This window comes from Homo sapiens, chromosome 22, assembly GCF_000001405.40.
Source record: "Homo sapiens chromosome 22, GRCh38.p14 Primary Assembly".
Classification (NCBI taxonomy): Eukaryota; Metazoa; Chordata; class Mammalia; order Primates; family Hominidae; genus Homo; species Homo sapiens.
The window spans coordinates 45,695,237-45,713,239 of record NC_000022.11 but is presented as its reverse complement, the minus strand read 5'-3'; the positions used below and the strand labels follow the sequence as shown (position 1 = coordinate 45,713,239).

The 18,003-nt window shown below is 39.0% G+C and overlaps 1 protein-coding gene across 3 annotated transcripts in view, besides 1 other annotated feature; it reads right to left on the bottom strand.

Annotated features, from left to right (window-relative positions):
- Positions 1-18,003, bottom strand: part of ATXN10 (ataxin 10) — a 173,474-nt gene that overhangs the window by 132,068 nt on the left and 23,403 nt on the right. For all 3 annotated transcript variants that reach the window (NM_013236.4, NM_001167621.2, XM_047441314.1), the window contains 2 exons: positions 12,862-12,958; positions 10,393-10,551 (listed from right to left, as the gene is read on the bottom strand). In NM_013236.4, the coding sequence (NP_037368.1) occupies positions 10,393-10,551; positions 12,862-12,958 (256 nt within the window). The remainder of the gene's footprint in view (positions 1-10,392; positions 10,552-12,861; positions 12,959-18,003) is intronic.
- Positions 16,719-16,818: an enhancer, noted in NCBI's record as "active region_19229". NCBI's record gives its function as "activates an Ori minimal core promoter by ATAC-STARR-seq in GM12878 lymphoblastoid cells {active_cell/tissue: GM12878}" and the evidence as "EXISTENCE:reporter gene assay evidence [ECO:0000049][PMID:35858748]".

The window sequence follows — 18,003 nt, the reverse complement described above, 5'->3', positions numbered from 1 at the left end:
ATCTGCATTACAATACTGATATACAAAATAGAAGGTAGTAAAGGTCACCTGTGTGGGCATCGAGGAGCACATGCCAACAGACAGCGAAAGGCGAACTCCTCACCAGTAAACAGAGACAGTCCTAAAGACGGGGGGTTTCAGGGAAATTTTTTTTTTAATGAAGGTCATCTATTATCCATATCCATACATGCATACAATGGCGATGCTATACTCACAACATGAGTAAAATAGATTTCAATCAGTTCAAAAACCTAGAAAATGTTTTTATACCTCATAAACAAATTTTGATTTAAATGTGCTATGGAAAATAAATGCCACTCTCCTTTGTTGTGAGATCTGGGAAATCTAACCCACAGTTGCTTAACACAGCAATTTGGACAAAGCTTACAAAGCTGGTCTAGAAAATAACCTCCCTTCTCCTGTTAAAAGAGTTAAATAACATTTCCAACGGGTTAAACGTGAGTAGCATTAAACTAGAAAAATAACAGTCCACTGATTCAATGGCGATGCTTCCTCTACTAGAAGAAAATGAGTTATAATCTGAAAAATATATAAATAGATTTCCTGAATCTACATGTGCCAGGCACTGGGGGAAACGTATTACACACACGCACATCCCAGCCACCCTTCCTTTAATGTCGTCCTCTAAGGGAGGCAGTGGGTGTACAGATTAAGAGCACAAATTTTGGTCTCAGAAAGAGCTGGGTTTGAGTCTCAGCCCAACACTCACTGGCAGTGTGACACTGGCTACGCTGTCTACCCTTCAGTATCAAGGTATTCTGCTTCTCCTGTTTCCAGTAATAATGTATCAGAATTCAACTCCAACAAAAATCAAAGAAATTAAACTATGTTTCCCTCCTGAAGCAAAAGCAGATAATGAAAAGGACATGCATTCGCCAAACACTGACAGTCCTTGTGGATATCTGCCACTTTTTCCCCTGTTCAGCATCCCCTTTTTTCCTTCCTTGGATAACAAGAATTCTTTTTCCTTCAAGAATGAGCCCAAACCTGGTAGCTTTTTCCTTCAAGAGTGGGCCCAAACCTGACAGCCTGTGCCCCCAGGGGAGGTCACCTGACTGCACACCCTAACAAACAGCACTGCCCCAGGGATGACAATGTGACCCAAAAAGAGCCACTTGCATGCCTCAAAAACATCCATCTGGTTATTACCTCTTTGTTTCTAATTCCCAAACTTCTCAATACCCTTGCCAGTCAATGTTTACAGAAGAAACTTTTTTTTATATTCTAAAGTATTCCATACAACATTTCACAAAAAGATATACACGTATACACAAAATCACAAGATGCATTCCATACACTGTTGGTAAAAAGTCAGAACTGTGTACAGACATTTAAGAAGCACTTCTGGCATAATGGTGGCATTAAGAGGCTCCATGTTCCCGCATACAAAGCCAACTGTCTGCTGACAACTATACTAATTCTATGGCAATCAGAAAGAAATGTTTTAAGCAGTGCACATCCTAACATGATAGTCTGTTATATACACAGGTGCTTTACCGAGTTTGGGTTTTTTTTAATTAAATATTTTTATTTTGAGATCATTGTAGATGCACACGCAGTTTTACAAAACACAAGAGAGATTCTGTGTACCCTTACCCAGTTTTCCCCAATGGTAACATCTGTAAAACTATAGTATGTGACAACCCAGATGCTGACAGTGACACGATGTGCGGATCTTACTCAGGTTTCCCAGGTTAACTTGTGCCTTTACTCAGGAGTAGCTGTGTGCATGTCTTTAGCTCTCTGTAACTTAATAATGCAGGGTCACAGATCCCCTCTCACAGGTGAGAGCCAGAACGGTTCGGCACCCCTTTTGCAGGTTCACCCGCCTATAACTCCAGCATCCTTCCTCAATCCCCGACAACCACTAATCCGTTCTCCATTTCTGTAATTTTGTCATTTCAAGAATGTCATGTAAATGGAATGATACATTATTTAACCTTTGGGGATTCATTGGCTTTTTTTTTTCACTCTGCTATAATTACCATGAGATCTTCCCAAGTTATGGCTTGTACCAACACTTGTTCCTTTTTATTGCTGAATAGTATTTTAGTTTGATTCTATTTTAAGACACTGACTGGGGTTTTGGGTAGACATGTAACATTTTATAATGTCCCCATTTTTAAGAAGGAAGTAGGCTCTCAGTCACTTTTTTGCACAGAATGTCTGATTTTCAGGAATAGATTGCTGATGTAAAATGAAGAAGCCTGTATAGAGTTCTAGAGAACAACGATACAGACCCTTTGGGGGTCTCTCACCAAAGTCTTATCTGGTTCAGGAGAACCAGGCTTATCTGCTTCAGATAAGCCTGAAGTGACTGAAGGACAACGATGCCACCAATCACCAGACTTATTCAACAAATACTACTACCAAAAACCCTTCAATGGATGGGGTTGGCAAACTTTTCCATAAAGGGCCAGACAGGAAATACTTTAAGCTTTGCAGGCCAAATGGTCTCTGTCACAACTACTCAACTCTGCCACTGTTACATGAAAGCAGCCGTAGACAATAGATAAACAAGCTTGGCTGTGTTCCAATAAAACTTTATTTATAAAAAGAAGCAGTGGGCCGGATTCAGACCATGGGCCATAGTTTGTCAACACATGTTCTAGGTGCTTTGGATAGAATGATGACCAGGACAAACTCCAGGGCCTTATGGAGCTAGTCCTACATTCTAGCAACCAACAATAAACAAGAAAGCAAATAAGATTTGTATAATGTTCGATAGTGGTAAGTGCTATTAAACAAATGAATAAAAGAGAGTAAAGCGATACGGGTTTACAGGAAACACTACTGAACATAAAGTGCTGGGAAGGTCTCTCAGTCGAAATGATAGATATTTGAACAGAGACCTAAAAGAGCTAGCCATGGGAAGATCTAAAGGAAGGTTCCATGCAGAAAGACAGCGGATGTAAAGATTCAGGACAGAACAAACTTGGAGTATTCAAAGAAAAACAGTAAGACCAGATGGAACTAAGGAGCAGGAGTAAAAGTAGTAAGAAATAAGATGAGGTGGTCAGTCAGACGCCAGGACATGACAAGTACTTTGGATTTGCTTCTAGGTTGCAATAAGAAGGCACTGAATGGTTTATTTAAGCAAGGAGTGACAACAGCTACAGTAATTTTTAAAAGGTCACTCTGGCTACTGTGTGATGATTCAGAGGGCAAAAGGAGAGACAGAAAGATGAGTAAGAAAGTTCTGGCAGTAGCAATGAAAGATGTCTATGGCAGAGGAGGCATGAAGTAGGTGAATGTGGAACACCTTTTGAAGATAGGGCTAATGAGTATAAGTGGGTGAGAGTGAAAGAAAATCAGGACTCAGGTTCCAGGCCTCAGCAAACGAGTAAATGGTGGTACCAGTTACTGAAGGATAAACATTGGTAGAGTAACAGGAGGTGTTATGTGTGGGGGAAATCAAAAGTTTGGACGCAGCCTTCATACATTTCAGATGCCAATTAGAAGCACATAATAGGAAGCTGTATATGTAAACCTAGAGCTTCAGCAAGAGATCAAGGCCAGAAACATAAATGTGGAAATCATCAATTTAGAAGAGGTATTTAAAGCTGTGGTATGAGATGAGGTCACCCAGAGAATGAGCAATAATGGAGAAGAGTGGTCTGAGGACCAGCCGTGGGCCATGCCAACCCTGAGTAGGCAAGAACAGGAGCCAACACAGGAAGCAGGAAATGTGCCTTACAACAAAGCCAGCACAGGAGAAAAATGAGACAAAGATGAGACAGATACTGATGACATCTTTCAGCCCTGGATTCACCGTGCCTTCACCCAATGACCCTGGAATTTTTCAGTTGCATAAGCCAATAAATCCCTTTATGTGCATAAACCATCTGAAGTGGACTTCAGTCACTTAGATTCAGAAGAATCATGACTAAAATAATGCTTATCACATGCCAGATATTATCTTGTTAAAGATCCAATAACAAACAACACTAAATCCTGCCTTACAGGGAGCTCACAGTCTAATGGACAATTAAATGCGCTAAGTGCCATGAAAGTGGAATGCATGGCTGTTGTGCGCGAACAGAAGAGGGGCAACAGATTCAGACTGCAAGAGGATGGACAATTATGTTTATCTTCCTAATATTGTTACACTTAAGCTGATAATAAAATGTACATGCATAAGGCAAGACACATCCCTAGAGAATACAAAATAAATCAACTAGATAACCCAAATACTAACAAAAAAGAATGCTTTGCTCCCAGTTATAACTTCATTTTTGTAGTGAAACTGGGTAAAAAGTTCAATGGATTAATAAAAGTTTAGGTGGGCACGGTGGCTCATGCCTGTAATCCCAGCACTTTGGGAGACAGGCGGGGAGATCACCTGAGGTCAGGAGTTCAAGACCAGGCTGGCTGACATGATGAAACCCCATCTCTACCAAAAATACAAAAAATTAGCCAGGCGTGGTGGCGCACGCCTGTAGTCCTGGCTACTCAGGGGGCTGAGATGGGAGAATCACTTGAACCCGGGAGGCAGAGGTTGCAGTGAGTCAAGATCACACCACTGCACTCCAGCCTGGGCAACAGAGTGAGACTCTGTCTCAAAAAGAAAAAGTTTACACCAAAAGAGGCTAAAACTGAAAAGAGTTCATGCCTCACCTTTGAAATGCAGACCTCCTCTCTGAAAATCGGTAATTTTCATAACACATGACATGGTATTAATAAAAATGGGATAGGCCCTCGAGTTTGGCATCACTTGCAATGCTGCCTCTGCTATATGCTAGTTGTGTGACCTTTGTCAGACTGGTTTACTCTGCTTAACTTTCATAGGTACATAGTAGCAAAATACAATTCACAGGATGGCAGCAATGTGAAAATGAGATTACACAGACAAAGCAACCAACACATCACAGGATCAGCACGAGGCAGTCCTACCTCTTCCTCTACTGTGTAATTCTGCACTGACTGACCTAACCTACCAGTGCACATTTACTGGACTTTCAGATTTAGATGAACTCAAAATAGAATCCCTGGATTCATCTAGGGTTATCTAAGAGCATGAAAACATCTTTCACACCTACAAACAAAAGAACAGACATTTTTAGAAAGACATTATCCCAATAATTCAAACCAAGTAGTGCCAAAGACTTTCTCGCCTACACTTTCCTGTGTCTCTAGTATACTCAAATAAAAAAACCCAAAGTTATTGGAATCACATTTGCCCTTTTCTAAGAAACAAGCAAAGGAAGAAAAGAAAACATAATGAAACCATGAATTCTAAGACCATGTAGTTTTGTATTATTTGCCACCTATCTCCTAAAATGTAGGGAAGAAAAAAGGCAGAAAGTGGGTTTTCTCCAATTTCCAGGGATGAGTTTATATTTAACAGCAAAAACAACAATTTCGTCAGAAGCCTCTGGATATTCTGTGATCTCATTGTTTGTTACCAAATGTAGAGTTCCTCTCACATAAATCAAAGTATTCCGCACCTGGACTGCAGAAGTGATCATTTAACCACTACTAGATCCATCCTTTGTTCCTTTCTGAATTCCTTCTAGTGGTCTCTAATACCTTTAACTTGAGCTATTTATATATTATATTATATTATATCATATTATATTATATTAAACAGATTTTATATTTTGCCCTTTATGACCTTTTGCCCTTTATTCCAAGCTGCTAAAAAAAAACTGCAGATGATTAAAATACAGACCCAAGGTACTCAACAAATAAAACAGAACTCAGCTACAGAAAATTTCTCTAAGTAAGTTGACTCTAATGATTGATCCTGTCATGTTACATTTGCATACAAAGGGAAGTTTTCTAAGTTAAACACATCATATTATTGTATGTACCAACTTCTGTTTGTTTGTAAATCTTAATTGAAATACAAATGAATATTCAGAAAAAGAAATAATTTCAAAATTAGGTATAATTTCAATAGAATGATAAAAGATTACACTGCAAGAAGCCAAAATTGAAAAAGCTCATACCTCACCTGTGAATGCAAGTGGGATTACAGGTGCTCAAGGCTTACTCCCTGGAGAAAATCTGTGGCCTAATCACACACTGACTACTATGTGCAAAAGATATGGAAAAATAGATTTTTTAAAAAACAGGATATTGTTAAAACATAAACAACAAAATTTGTGATAAATTTTATAATGAGAAAGGGTCAATGCATCAAGAAGGTATAACAATAATAAATATAAACATGTGTGTGTGTACTTAACAGAGCATGAAAATAAGGGAAGCAAAAACTGACAGAACTGAAGGAAAAAATGCACAATAATTCACTTTCAATAATGAAAAGAACTAGAACAGAAGATCAGCAAGAAAACAGAAGATTTAAACAACACTATCAACCATCTAGCCAACCAGACCTAATAGATATCTACAGAACATGCCACCAAAACCAGCAGCATACACATTCTATTCAAGTGTACATGGAACATTCTCTATGACAGACCACATGTCAGGCCATAAAAGAAGCCTAGGTAATGTCAAAAAGAATGAAATCATATAAAGTGGGTTCTCTGGCCACATGGAATAAAATTAGAAACAAATATGTGGAAATTAAACAACAAACTCCCAAATAACCAATAGGTCACAAAGGAAATTGGACTATAATTTGAAATAAATGAAAGTAAAAGCACAAACACCAAAATTTACAGAATCCTAAATTATGGGATGCTAAAGTAGTTCCTACCAGGAAATTTGTAGATGTAAATGCCTATGTAAAAAAGACAGAAGATCTCATATCAGTAACCTAACCTTCCATCTTGAGAAACTAGAAAAAGAAGAGCAAACCAAACCCAAAGCACGCAGAAGAAAGAATATAATAAAGATTACAGCAAAAAGAAATGAAATAGAGAATAACTGTAAAGAAAATCAACAAAACCAAAAGTTGGTTCTCCGAAAAGAGCAAAAACTCTAACAAACCTTTAGCTATAGTGAACAAGAAAAAAGAGAAGACTCAAATTACTAAAATCAGGAATGAAGAGGGGACATTCCTACCAATCTTACAAAAATAAAAAAATTCTAAGGGTCTATTAACAATTTGTGCCAACAAATTAGACAGCCTAGACCAGTGGTCCCCAACCTTTTTGGCACCAGGGACTGGTTTCATGAAAGACAATTTTTCCATAGACAGGGGTGGGGGGACGGTTTCAGGAAGAAACTGTTCTACCTCAGATCAACAGGCATTAGTTGTAATAGATTCTCATAAGGAGTGTGAGACCTAGATCCCTCGCATGCGCAGTTCACAACAGGGTTTGTGCTCCTAAGAGAATCGAATGTGGCTGATGATCTGACAAGAAGTGGCGCTCAGGCAGGAATGCTTGCTTGCCTGCTGCTTATCTTGTGCTATGTGGTCCTGTTCCTAACAGGCCATGGACAGGTACCAGTCCACAGGTCGGGGGCTGGAGGACCCCCGGCCTAGACCAAACAGGCAAATTCCTAGAAAGACACAAACTACCAAAACCAACCCAAGAAGACAACAATCTGAATAGACCCGTAACAAGTGGAGGCCGGGCGCGGTGGCTCACGCCTGTAATCCCAGCACTTTGGGAGGCTGAGGCAGGTGGCTCATGAGATTAGGAGTTCAATACCAACCTGGCCAAGATGGTGAAACCCCGTCTCTACTAAAAATACAAAAAAAATTAGCCGGGTGTGGTGGCGGGCACCTGCAATCCCAGCTATTCAGGAGACTGAGGCAGAGAATTGCTTGAACCCAAGAGGCGGAGGTTGCAGTGAGCCGAGATCGCACCACTGCACTCCAGCCTGGGCAACAGAGTGAGACTCCGTCTCAAAAAAAAAAACCAAGACCTGTAACAAGTAACAGGTTTGAATTAGTAACCAAAACCCTTCCCATGATAAAAAGCCCAAGACCAGATGGCTTCACCAGTGAATTCTACCACATATTTAAAGATGAATACCGATCCTTTACAGTCTTCCAAAAACAAAACAAAACAAGACCTCATTCTGTAAAGTCAGTATTTACCTGATACCAAAACCAGAAAAAGAAATCACAAAAAGAAAAAAAAGCTACAAACCAATATGCCTTATGAATATAGATTCAAAAATCCCCAACAAAATATGAACCGAATCCAGCAACATATAAAAAGGATTATACACTATGAACAAGTAGGATTTATCTCAGGAATCCAAAGTTGATTTAAAGTATAAAAATCACTGTTAGACAAAGTATTAATAGACTAAAAGACAAAGCCATATGACTATCTCAACAGACACAAAATATATTTGATAAAATAGACTTTCATAATAAAAACATTCAACAAGTAAAAGAAAATCAGTAGAAGTAGAAGAAAAGTTTATCATCCTGAGCAAGGGCTTCTTAGAAAACCCCACAGGCAACAGCACACTGAAAGACTGCCCCACTAAGATCTTAAATAAGAAACATATGTCTGCTCTCACCAATTCTACTCAACATTGTATTGGAATTTCCAGTCAGGGCAACTAGGCAAGGAAAAGAAAGAAAAGGCAACCCAACTGGAAAGAAAAAAATATTACCTACTTGCAGATGGCACGGTCCTGTACAGAAAAAATCCTAAGAATCACGTACACAAAAAAATCTACTAAAACTATAAATAAGTTCAGGAAGAAAGATTGCAGGATATAAGATTAATATACAAAAATCAGTTGTATTTCTACACATTAGCAATGAACAATCCAAAAATGAAAGACTTCCATTTGCAATACCATCAAAAAGAATAAAATACTTAGAATAAACTGAACTAACGACACCCAAAACTCATAGACTAAAAACTACAAAACATAACTGACGAAAATTTAAAAGGCCTAAATAAATAAATGAATATCCTCTATTCATGGATTGGAACACTTAATCTAGGTAAGATGGCAATATTCCCCCAAGGTGGTCTACAGATTCATGTAATTCTTATCAAAATTCCAGCTGTTTTTTTTTTTTAACAAATTGAAAAGTTGATCCTAAAATTAATATGGAAACAGAAGGGACCCAGGACAACAAAACTGAAAAAGAACAAAGTTGGAAAACTCACACTTCCTGATTTCAAAATTTACTATAAAATTACGGTAATCAAGACACTGTAGTACTGGCAAAGAGAGAAAATGGACTGGAAAAAAAAAAAAAAAGCACTGAACAGAGCCTCAGGCACTTACAAAACAACAACAGAAGACTAACACTTGTATCTTCAGAGTCTAGGGGAACAGCTCCACATAGTGCCCTGGTGACCTTGGATGTATCCATATATACCATGCATGCCAGAGCTTGAACAGCGGCTAATCTGAGTCTTGCCTGCTGAATAGCTTGTGATCCTCCTGGAACCCGAGATGGGAGGGGCCTGAGGCTTCTGAGGCTGTATCCTTTTTGCTCTTCTGTCTCCTAGGGGAGGCTGTCATGGGACAGGTTCTAATGAGTTTGGTGCTAATGAGGTACAGAGCTTTCTGCCTTGCCCCTCTTAGCATATAATGCCTCTTTAAACAGTCAAGAAGGCCTCCTCAGGAGTGGGATACCTCACAATTCATATCCTAATCATCCAGGTCTTTGTGGTGTCTGGGACAAGGATCAGGAGGAGCTGGCCCCTTTGGCTTCTTCTTTTCTCTGTCTATATAAGTAACAAACTGTCTAAACCTAAAAGTAGATTGTTGTAACTTGTATTATTTTCACAGTCCCATCAGTTGAGCCACAGCCTTGGCCCTGCCTTGGACTGTGTGTGCGCCTAAAACATGGAGTCCCAGAAGAAGTGGAGAGAGAACAAGGGCCTGAAAAAAAGTATTCAAACAAATAACAGCGAAAATTTTCCAAATTAACTTCCCCAATTTGGCAAAAGACATAAATCTACTGATTCAAGAAGTTGAGGAAACCCCAAAAAGAGTAAACCCAAAGAAATCTATGCCAATACCATAATTAACCTCTGAAAAGACAAAGAAAAATCTTAAAAGCAATCACAGAGAAATAACACATTATGTATGAAGGGTGGCAGTACATTATGTATCGGGGGGCAATTTGAATGGCAGTCTCTATCTCATCTGCACAGATGCTTACAAGGCTCGCACCAACCTCTGATCTAATGAACTAGCTACTGCAGCCACAACAGTCTTATCTGTGCACTCCAAAGGTGCCTGGGCATTTCACACTGTTTTTTCATACACCAAGAATGTCTTTCCCGCTCCTCACCACCTTAAAGAATTCTCTTTGTCCTTAAAGGCTCAATTCAAGCCTCACTTTATTCACCTCATTCACAAGTTCTCTAGATTCTGCTCAAAATCTTCTCTAATTCTGTCAACACATGTTAAGTTTTAACTTATCGTTCAATTATCACAATGTCCAAATTTTTACTTAAAACCTCTGCAAGGAAAGTGATCTGTCAGGATGCCCCAAAGCAATCAAATTTCTAACAAGATACTTACGGCCATTCTGATTCAGGATGTTTTTGGTAAGCATCTATGACATCAATTGCAATATTGAGGTTCTCCTCCAGTTCTTTCATTCTTTCATGATTAAGGGATGTAAACAAAATCATTGAAGAGTAGGCAACAATTTTTTTGTCCGGATGATTTAAGCAAGACCTTCCAAACAAGGAAATGAGATTGTTAGCCCAATTTAGTAACATGATAAAACACAAAAATAACAGTAATACCATTGTCAAATTCACTACATGCTAATACTTTTGAGGATTTAGAATTATAGCACTTTAAAATAAGTAGATTATTTACTGTAAAAATAGTAAATATAAACTTAGTCACAATAAAAAGTATCCAAAATATTAAAGTTGAAGTTGACATAGAACTCAGAAGGCAAAAGGCAAATAACTTACCATTAGAGAAAAAGATTAGAATGATTACATTTATAAAACATTAAAATGTTCATTCTTGTTAGAAAGAAAAAATCGACAGGTACAAAATGATACCTCAATGACTGCTGGCACTGCTTTAATAGTCCTTAGGGACAAGATGCCTACAGGAGAGATGGTATAGTGGGGCAAGAAATAGAATTTGGAGTCAGGAGCCTCGCTATAACTCCTAGCTCCTCTAGCTATCAGCCAGGTGACCTGGGGAAGGTCACTGACATATTGATTGTCAATTATATCATGGGTTATGCAATATGGCAGGATTTTTTTTCATTTAAACTTCATAATACTCTTCTGAAGGAGGTATTATTCATCTATTTCAGATAAAGAATTTGTTAGCTTCACTTGGCCAATAGCACAAAGCCAGCACCTGACAAAACTGGAATTCAAATTTGGTTATATCTGTCCCATAAATGCATAAAAAGTGAAGGCAAAGAACCTCTCTTAATATGTTTTCTGGTATAAAAAATAAAATACAATAACAAAACCTCTATTTCACAGGGTTTTTAATGACGATCAAATGAGATCATCTAAAAGCAACATGTAAACTGTTAAGACTTCTCTGACTGACCTACACTTAAGCCTCTCCCTTGTTTTTCTATTACACCCTGGATTTGCCCTAATTACCTTAGTTCTTACATCACAACCTATGTGCCTGTTCCTTTACTTCCCCAACCAAAGAATGAAATCCTTCAGGAATAACGAATATATAAGTTACCACCACATTCTAATCATCTATCCCAAAACCTGGCAGATATTAGGTATCCAAAACGTTTTAAGGGAATGAATTCTCAAAAATAAGCAATGCCTATTTCTGTAGCTTGAATTTCGTAATTCTCTTCTTCCACCTAAGCTCAAATATCATTAATATATGTAACATTAATATATATACACCTTCAACTCTTAATTATTTGCAGGAATTTGAGAAATTCCATGAGCTACAGGTGAATTAGAGTTTATCCCATCTTAACGCTATACTTCACAGAGGAGCCCAGGAAAGCTGTACAACAAGGAAGGGCATTACGGAATTTAAGCAGCACAGTATTTACAATGAGCATAGATAGGCTTTAGATCCAGATGGCAGCAATGGGTTTACACTCTACCTCTGCCATTTACCAGTGATGAGCTTCAGGTCTCTCATCTGTCCAAATGGGGAGACAGTAACACTTACTCTGCAGGCTATTGTGAGAACAGAAAAAATATACGGATAATGCCCAGTTCAGGGTATGTACACAACAGCTGCTACCCTGCTGTGCTGCTTATACTGTTGCAACCATCAAAGTCACCCCATTCATTGGCACCAAAGCCTAGATTCAAAGCCAGGTCTCCCACTCCCAGACTGTGCCTTTCCTACTAGGTATACTGACTCTATTCCCTGCTCACCTTTTACCTCAATGCTCAATTTCTTATGAACAGAGCTGGTTTTTAAGAAGTAGAATCACCAGAAAAAGTACCAGGATCCAATCGAGACAAATGGAATGGTTACCCACATCTTACACTGATAAATGGACTGGTTACTCACTTCTTACATGGATAAACTGATTGTTTATCCACATCTTCTTCTTATCTTCCAAAACATACAGCATTGTGCTCAGCATATCAGTATTCAATACATAAACAATTTTAATTCATTGCCCATACTTTGATGCTCTATTTTAATTGTGTTTCTTATAAATTTCAGTGTCCTTAACAATATTACTTACTTTATCCATGACTTTATTTTTGTAAAAGTAAACTGATATACAATCAAGGGCATAAATCTTAAGTGTACATACAGCTCAATGAACAAAGTTTGGATATGTATACATCCATGTAACCACCACCAAGGTCAAGATATAGACGAACACTTCCAGGACCCAGGTGTTTCCCTAGTGCCCTCTCCCAGCTGGTACCCACCCACCAAGAACAACTACTATCCTGAACTCTATTACAGTGGGTTACTTTTTCCTGTTTTCGAACTTTATATAAAATGGAAAAATATAGCCACAATCTTCTCACAAGTTAGAAAAATGCTTATCAATATACTCACAAAAACAGTTCTGGGAAAGCATGCACCCAAACAATAGACTGGGAATCTTCATTCCGTGAGGCAATGTTGCCTAAAAACTGCAGGCCACAGCGAAAAGCTAAGAATATATAAAAGTTATAAATAAATAAATAAATGATTAAACACAATAAATAAATGCATCTTAAGAAATATTCTCCATGTTATTAAACAGAAAGTTTCTGCTTGCTTCTTTTAAAAATTAAAGTCTGTCTCCACAAGTTCACTTTGGGAATAACATGAATATGCCATGGCTGGGAGCGGCGGCTCACGCCTGTAATCCCAGCACTTTGGGAGGCCAAGGCGGGTGGATCACTTGAGGCCAGGAGTTCAAGACCAGCCTGGCCAATATGTCAAAACCCCATCTCTACTAAAAGTAAAAAAAATTACTTGGGAGGCTGGGGCATGAGAATTGCTTGAACCTGGGAGGCAGAGGTTGCAGTGGGCCAAGATCACGCCACTGCACTCCAGCCTGGGAGACAGAGTGAGACTCTGTCTCAAAAAAAAAAAAAAAAATTAATATGCCTTACCAAAACAATATACTCTACATACAAAATTAATTAACTTATTGCCTGGGTGCAGTGGCTCACACCCGTAATCCCAGCACTCTGGGAAGACGAGGGGGGTGCGGATCACCTGAGGTCAGGAGTTCGAGACCAGCCTGGCCAACGTGATGAAACCCCGTCACTACTGAAAACACAAAAATTAGCCAGGCGTGGTGGAAGGCGTCTGTAATCCCAGCTACTTAGGAGGCTGAGGCAGGGAGAATTGCTTGAACCCAGGAGGTGGAGGTTCCAGTGAGCCAAGATTAAGCCACTGCATCCAGCCGGGGAGACAGACCCAGACCCTGTCTCAAAAAAAAAAAAAAAAAAAGGAAAGAAAAAGAAAAAAAAAAAGATTTCTACTGAATATTTTAGAATATTAACACTCAGATCTGTATAAAACTGAACATGCAAAAAGCCAACAGTATAGGTTGATCTGAAAACCAACTGATCCAACAACTCATCAGGCACATAAGATTAATGCTCAGGATCAGAACACAATTCTGAAAAGGAAAAGGCTTAAAGATGTCCCAGACACAAGAAAAGAAAACTCCAGACAGGTACAAATGACAGTTTACTTTACCAAACAGCTTATCAACTGATCTTTATGTAAATACTGCAAATGTTATGAAGACCCTCAAAAATCCCAACATTATTTTTACAGAGTAAGAAAGAATAAAGGCCAAAAACAACACCAATAACTCAATTAAAATAACTCATGCTTGTGTTTACATAAAATTTGATGGGCATAATATATTCGTCATACCACTGCAATTATTCCCTGAAAATAATACTCTAAATATTATTTTGACAATGTAATTACAGTTCTTACCTCAAGTGTGGTAACAAAAAACTGGCACACATACCCTGCTAAAAAATCTACCTAGAATAAAGTTCTCACAGAGAAAGAGTCAAAAAAGTACAGGCGCTTTGTTAGGAACCAGAATACTTTTTAAAAGATTATTTGTATTAGGTTTGAACTAACACACCATAAAATTTTTTCTAAGTTTCACTGTTGAATCCAAATTTCATTGCTGAATTCCAACTAAAATTCGGTCATTTCACTAGCTGCCGTTTTCAAGGTGATGAGAAATATTACTTCCTTTCCATTTTCCTTCCTGCCTCAATAATATCCTTCCAATAACATCTGTGGCGAAACACAAGCTATCTACTAAATAGGAACACAACTGAAAAATTAAATAAGTCCTGAATAAATAGAGAGATGTTCCATATTCATGAACTTGAAAACTCAATAGTGTTAAGATGGCAATTCTTCCCCAATTGATCTATAGATTCAATATTATCCCAAGTATCTACAATGTATAGAAAACCTTTACAACTCTACAAGAAATAGACACAAACAGCCCAATTGAAAACTGGACAAAGGACTCAAATAGACATTTCTCCAAAGAAGATTTACAAACGGCCAATAAGTACGTGATCATTTAGGAAATGCAAATCAAAACCACAATGAAGTACCCCCACTTCACACCCACCAGGATGACTACAACACAGAAAGAAAGAGTCAGCAAGGATGCAAGAAATGGGAACATTCGTATGGTGTCGGTGAAAAGTCATATGATTCAGCTGCTATGGAAAAGTCTGACAGCTCCTCAAATGGTAAGCAGAGTTACCATATGACCCAGCAATTCTATTCCTAGGTATACACCCAAAAGAAATAAAAACAGATAAACAATTGGATGTACCAGCATGTTCACAACAGCATGACTCATGATAGACAAAAGGTGGAAACAACCTAAATGTCCAACAAACAATGAATGGATAAACAAAATGTGATATATCAAAACAACGGAGTATTATTCCACCATAAAGAGGAACGAAGTAATGATACACACTACAAGGTGGATGAACCTTAAAAACATTATGCTAAAGGCCAGGAGCGGTGGCTCACGCCTGTAATCCCAACACTTTGGGAGGCCGAGGCGGGCGGATCACAAGGTCAGGAGATCGAGACCATCCTGGCTAACACGGTGAAACCCCGTCTCTACTAAAAATACAAAAAATTAGCTGGGCGTGGTGGCGGGCGCCTGTAGTCCCAGCTGTGCGGGAGGCTGAGGCAGGAGAATGGCGTGAACCCCAGGGGGCGGAGCCTGCAGTGAGCCGAGATCGCCCCACTGCACTCCAGCCTGGGCGACAGCGAGACTCTGTCTCAAAAAAATAAATAAATAAATAAAAACATTATGCTAAGTGAAAGGAGTAAGACACCAAAGGTCACATAATTAATTCTATGATTCCATTTATATGAAGTATCCAGAGTAGGTAGATCTACAGAGACAGAATGCTAAGTAGTGGTTGCCAGGGGCTACAGGGAGGCGGAAAGAGAGCAGCTGCTCAATGAAAACGGTATCCTTTTAGGGTGATTTTTAGGCCGGACGCAGCGGCTCACGCCTGTAATTCCAGCACTTTCGGAGGCCGAGGTGGGTGGTTCACCTGAAGTCAGGAGTTCGAGACCAGCCTGGCCAATGTGGTGAAACTCCATCTCTACTAAAAATACAAAAATTAGCCAGGCGTGGTGGTGGGTGCCTGTAATCCCAACTACTCAAGAGGCTGAGGCAGGAGAATTGCTTGAACCTGGGAGGCGGAGACTGTAGTGAGCCGAGATTGTGCCACTGCACTCCAGCCTGGGCAACGAGAGCAAACTCCGTCTCAAAAAAAAAAATTTTTTTTTTAATTAGGTAGAGATGGTAGTTGCATAATACTGTGGATGTACTAAATGCCACTCGATTGTTCACTTTAAAATAGTTAACAATATGTGAATCTCACATCAATAAAAAACAATTAAACTCATACAAATGCAACTACCTAAATTAAGAACAACATTTAATACAGCTAACATGTAACAGGTCTGTAAGAATCTGCCCTCTCTGCCTAGTGAATATGAGTGAATAGCCAAGCTAACAACCAAATAACCAATTTACTCCTCAATGACAAACTGGTTCATAAAAGTAGTTTCAGATATCTGCTCCGTTAAATTTTTTCTTAGGTCATCTACCTGCTTCAGTGGAAAGTAATCCTGTGAAGGATGAAATAATCTTTTACCATATATTGTAAAAACTAAATACATCTTTTGTAGCACATTTGGGATAGAGCAGAAAAACGAGATACTGGACTGACGGGGACATGGAGTCAAAAGAAGATATTTTTAAATGAAAAATGGGAGGGCATATTACTTGCTGATGAAAATGATGGAGTAAAGAGGAAAAAAACAGAGGCTGCCTGAGAGCAAGGGGATAATTTCAGGAGAAAAGCTTCTGCGTGGGCAAGTGGCGATGAAATCCAGCACATGGTGGAGGGGCTGGCTCCATTCTAATAGTTATTTAATCACAGCATTTGTACAGCACTTCCCCTTTGCTTCTTTATTTAGCATATATCATTAAAAGAGAAACCTCCTTCCGCCCACCACAGCACAGCAGCTCTGGAGCGCCACACTGCCCGCCCCATCAGGATCACCAATTATAAAACACAGTACATTCTCAACTTTCTTTCTCAATTACTATACCACACAGAGACCTCAAAATAGCTGCCCTTCCAAGTGACACTGTGAAACACGGACTTTACTGCTAATTTATAATTCCCCAATTTTGAGTACTGATGCTTCCCTTTTATTATAAAATAGAGCTACAGAAGTATCTTTAAATATATAATATCGTAAAAACATTTCACAACTAAATCCTACATCCTTTCAATTTCTTGAGATTATTTTAAAAACTGATGCTCAAAAAAACATGGTGATGCACTTTGTCTGTAAATTCTTAAAGGAAGTAATTAATTTTTAATTACCATTTCCTAAAGGAATACTTCAAAATCAAATAGCAAGATCCAAGAATTTCTAGCAAACTGAGTTTAAAATGAAAACACTAGGAAATCACAGAAATTAAACCAAACCAGGCAGTGCTCTAACACGCTAATTTAGCCTATTTCACCTGTGAAAAAAGACCATCACCTCTAGTTCTTGTCTATCTACCAAGAGAAGCACACATATTAACATCAATAGAAATATGCCTCACGTGGCCAGGTGCGGTGGTTCATGCCTGTAATCCCAGCACTTTGAGAGGCCGAGGTGGGTAGATTATGAGGTCAGGAGTTCAAGACCTGCCTGGCCAAGGTGAAACCCCATCTCTAATAAAAAAATACAAAAAATCAGCCGAGTGCGGCGGCAGGCGCCTGTAATCCCAGCTACTCGGGAGGCTGAGGCAGGAGAATCGCTTGAACCCGGCGGGAAGGCGGTGGTTGCAGCGAGCCAATATCGCACCACTGCACTCCAGCCTGGGCGACAGAGTAAGACTCCATCTCAAAAAAAAAAAAAGAAATATGCCTCATGTTATATGCAAAGTACAGGCATTAAAACTGTATATAAAACAATTTGTAAGTCAAATAATATTTTAAATGCAACTGGAGACTTCTCATTTAAAGGTTATATTCATTGAATTATAAGGTAAAGACGTTATTACAATGACAATTTTTTTTTTTTTTTTTGAGGTGGAGTCTCGCTCTGTCGCCCAGGCTGGAGTTCAGTGGCGGCAATCTCGGCTCACTGCAAGCTCTGCCTCCTGGGTGCATGCCA